General features: G+C 54.7%; 1 pseudogene; it reads left to right on the forward strand.

Moving 5' to 3' along the window:
* SOCS2P1 (suppressor of cytokine signaling 2 pseudogene 1) lies at positions 1988-2632 on the forward strand (annotated as a pseudogene).

Here is a 3189-nt window from a genome sequence, read left to right on the forward strand (position 1 = left end):
CCTCCCGGACGGGGCGGCTGGCGGGGCGGGAGACTGACCCGCCCACCTCCCTCCCTGTCGGGGCGGCTGGCTGACCCCCCCACCTCCCTCCCGGACAGGGCAGCTGGCCTGGCGGGGGGCTGACCCCCCACCTCCCTCCCGGACGGGGCGGCTGGCCGGGAGGGGGGCTAACCCCCACCTCCCTCCCGGACGGGGTGGCTGCCGGGCGGAGACGCTCCTCACTTCCCAGACAGGGTGGCTGCCAGGCGGAGGGTCTCCTCACTTCTCAGATGGGGCGGCCGGGCAGAGACGCTCCTCACCTCCCAGACGGGGTCGCGGCCGGGCAGAGGTGCTCCTCACATACCAGCCGGGGCGGCGGGGCAGAGGCGCTCCCCACATCTCAGACGATGGGCGGCCGGGCAGAGACGCTCCTCACTTCCTAGATGGGATGGCGGCCGGGAAGAGGCGCTCCTCACTTCCCAGATGGGATGGCGGCGGGGCAGAGATGCTCCTCACTTTCCAGACTGGGCAGCCAGGCAGAGGGGCTCCTCACATCCCAGACGATGGGTGGCCAGGCAGAGACGCTCCTCACTTCCCAGACGCGGTGGCGGCTGGGCAGAGGCTGCAATCTCGGCACTCTGGGGGGCCAAGGCAGGCGGCTGGGAGGTGGAGGTTGTAGCGAGCCGAGATCACGCCACTGCACTCCAGCCTGGGCACCATTGAGCACTGAGTGAACGAGAGTCCGTCTGCAATCCCGGCACCTCGGGAGGCCGAGGCTGGCGGATCACTCGCGGTTAGGAGCTGGAGACCAGCCCGGCCAACACAGCGAAACCCCGTCTCCACCAAAAAAATACGAAAACCAGTCAGGCGTGGCGGCGCGTGCCTGCGATTGCAGGCACTCTGCAGGCTGAGGCAGGAGAATCAGGCAGGGAGGTTGCAGTGAGCCGAGATGGCAGCAGCACAGTCCAGCTTCGGCTGGGCATCAGAGGGAGACCGTGGAAAGAGAGGGAGAGGGAGACCGTGGGGAGAGGGAGAGGGGGAGGGGGAGGGGGAGGGGAAGATTTTTCTCTTCATTTTCTGCCCATCCGAAAGCTTTCATCGATATTTTCCTTTCACACTGGCAATATTTTTGGTTGTCACAAATGGATGAGGTGTGTGCTACTCCAGGAGAGCACATGAGTAGAGGCCAGGGGTGGTGCTACCCATTCCATAATACACAGAACAGCCCCTCACAACAGAAGCATCTAACCTAAAATGTCACTAGTGTTAAGAAACCCTAGGCCGGGCACGGTGGCTCACGCCTGTAATCCCAGCACTTTGGGAGGTCAAGGCAGGTGGATCACGAGGTCAGGAGATCGAGACCATCCTGGCTAACGTGGTGAAACCCCGTATCTACTAAAAATACAAAAAAAAATTAGCCGGGCATAGTGGCGGGCCCCTGTAGTCCCAGCTACTCGGGAGGCTGAGGCAAGAGAATGGCATGAACCCGGGAGGCAGAGCTTGCAGAGCGGAGATCACGCCACTGCACTCCAGCCTGGGTGACAGAGTGAGACTCCATCTCAAAAAAAAAAAAAAAAAATGACAGGACCCACTCACCCCACCCACCCCTCTAAGCCACCAGGGAAGGCAAAACTAGGTCATGAAAAGTGCTGAAAGAGGCAAGGTTTTAGACTTAGTTAGCTTCACTTCCAGGAATCTGTCCAAAAAACTTAAGTACAGATACATTTAAGCACAAAGACATAGGGGTATTCATGATGGGAATTTAAAAAACAAAAAACCTGAAACAAAAAGCAAATAATTAAACCCAAGTACAAGATTAGCAATGCTGACAACATTTGTAATGGTGAGAGAGTGAGACTCTGTCTTAAAAAAAAGAAAAAAGAAACCCTGTAGTAGGCAACTGGTATTGACTGAGGACAGTGAGGGCCAGGACCCCGGGGCGCAGCCTCAGGATTCCCCACGCTTGCAGCTGGGGAGCCTGGGGTAGGCAATTTGTGGGTGACCATGTCTGCGAAGGACTTTGCCATCTGTGTTTTCGGACCTGGGGAGAAAGAACCCCATCCCCTACCCCTCCTCCACCATTTTAGATACCCCAGATGGACTCATTTTGGGGTTCCCACTGACATCCAGGAAGGACACAAACCCTTCTCTGACCCCAGCCAGCTCTAGTGGCCACCTCTCTTTGCCACGGTGACCCTGCTCCCATGACCCTGCGGTGTCTGGAGCCCTCCAGGAATGGCAGGGAAGGGACGCGGAGCCAGCAGGGAGACCACAGGGTCACTGAGGAGCTGTGCCTGAAGACGGTGCGTGTCTGGCAAGGCCCTGCAGGAGCTCCCACAGGATGGTACGGGGGAAATATGTCCACAGAGCCAAAGAGAAATTAAAAGAGGCACCAGGAGGAAATTCCTTGATTAGAGATAGCTCCCATTCAGACGACCTACTAACAATATCTGTTAAAACATCAGCTGGACCAACTAATCTTCCAATCAAATACCAAGATGGTAAATTCAGATTGCACTCTGTCCTATGTGGCAAGTATGGTTTCATCTGATTGACTGCTATGTTCAGATGTGTAAGGATGAGCAGACGGGTGGGAAGGCCCCAGAACAGCACTGCTCACCTTTACTGACCAAATCACTCTACCCATCAGCACTGATGAAACAGGAAAATAGAGTCTGGAGACAGGGAACATAAGGCCAATTCACACTTCAGCTATGACAGGAAATGTCCTCTCCATAGGGCCTACACTGAGTAAATGACTTTGTAACTTTACTTCATCCTGTTCATTTACACAGGGCGTACCCCAAGTACAGGGTATTTAAACTCACAAAAACTCTGTAACAGGGCCTTTGAGCCCGTGTTCGGCCCTGCTCCCACACTGTGGAGTGCACTTCCTTTTCAATAAATCTCTTCATTCCTTTCTTGCTTTGTTTGTGCGTTTTGTCCAATTCTTTGTTCAAGACACCAAGAACCTGGACACTGTCCACCGGAAACACCATCTCTATAGCAGCTCTGTGAACCCACTGCTAACAGACAGTGATATCTGGGAACGGCCTTTACCAACAAGACTAAAAGTTAATTGGAAGAATATCAGTTCCAGGTATAAGTGGGTTTTTTTTTGTTTGTTTTCTTTGTTTGTTTGTTTGTTTTTGAGACTAGAGTCTTGCTCTGTTGCCCAGACTGGAGTGCAGTGATGTGATCTCAGCTCAC

The sequence above is a fragment of the Homo sapiens genome, chromosome 20, assembly GCF_000001405.40.
Source record: "Homo sapiens chromosome 20, GRCh38.p14 Primary Assembly".
Taxonomy (NCBI): domain Eukaryota; kingdom Metazoa; phylum Chordata; class Mammalia; order Primates; family Hominidae; genus Homo; species Homo sapiens.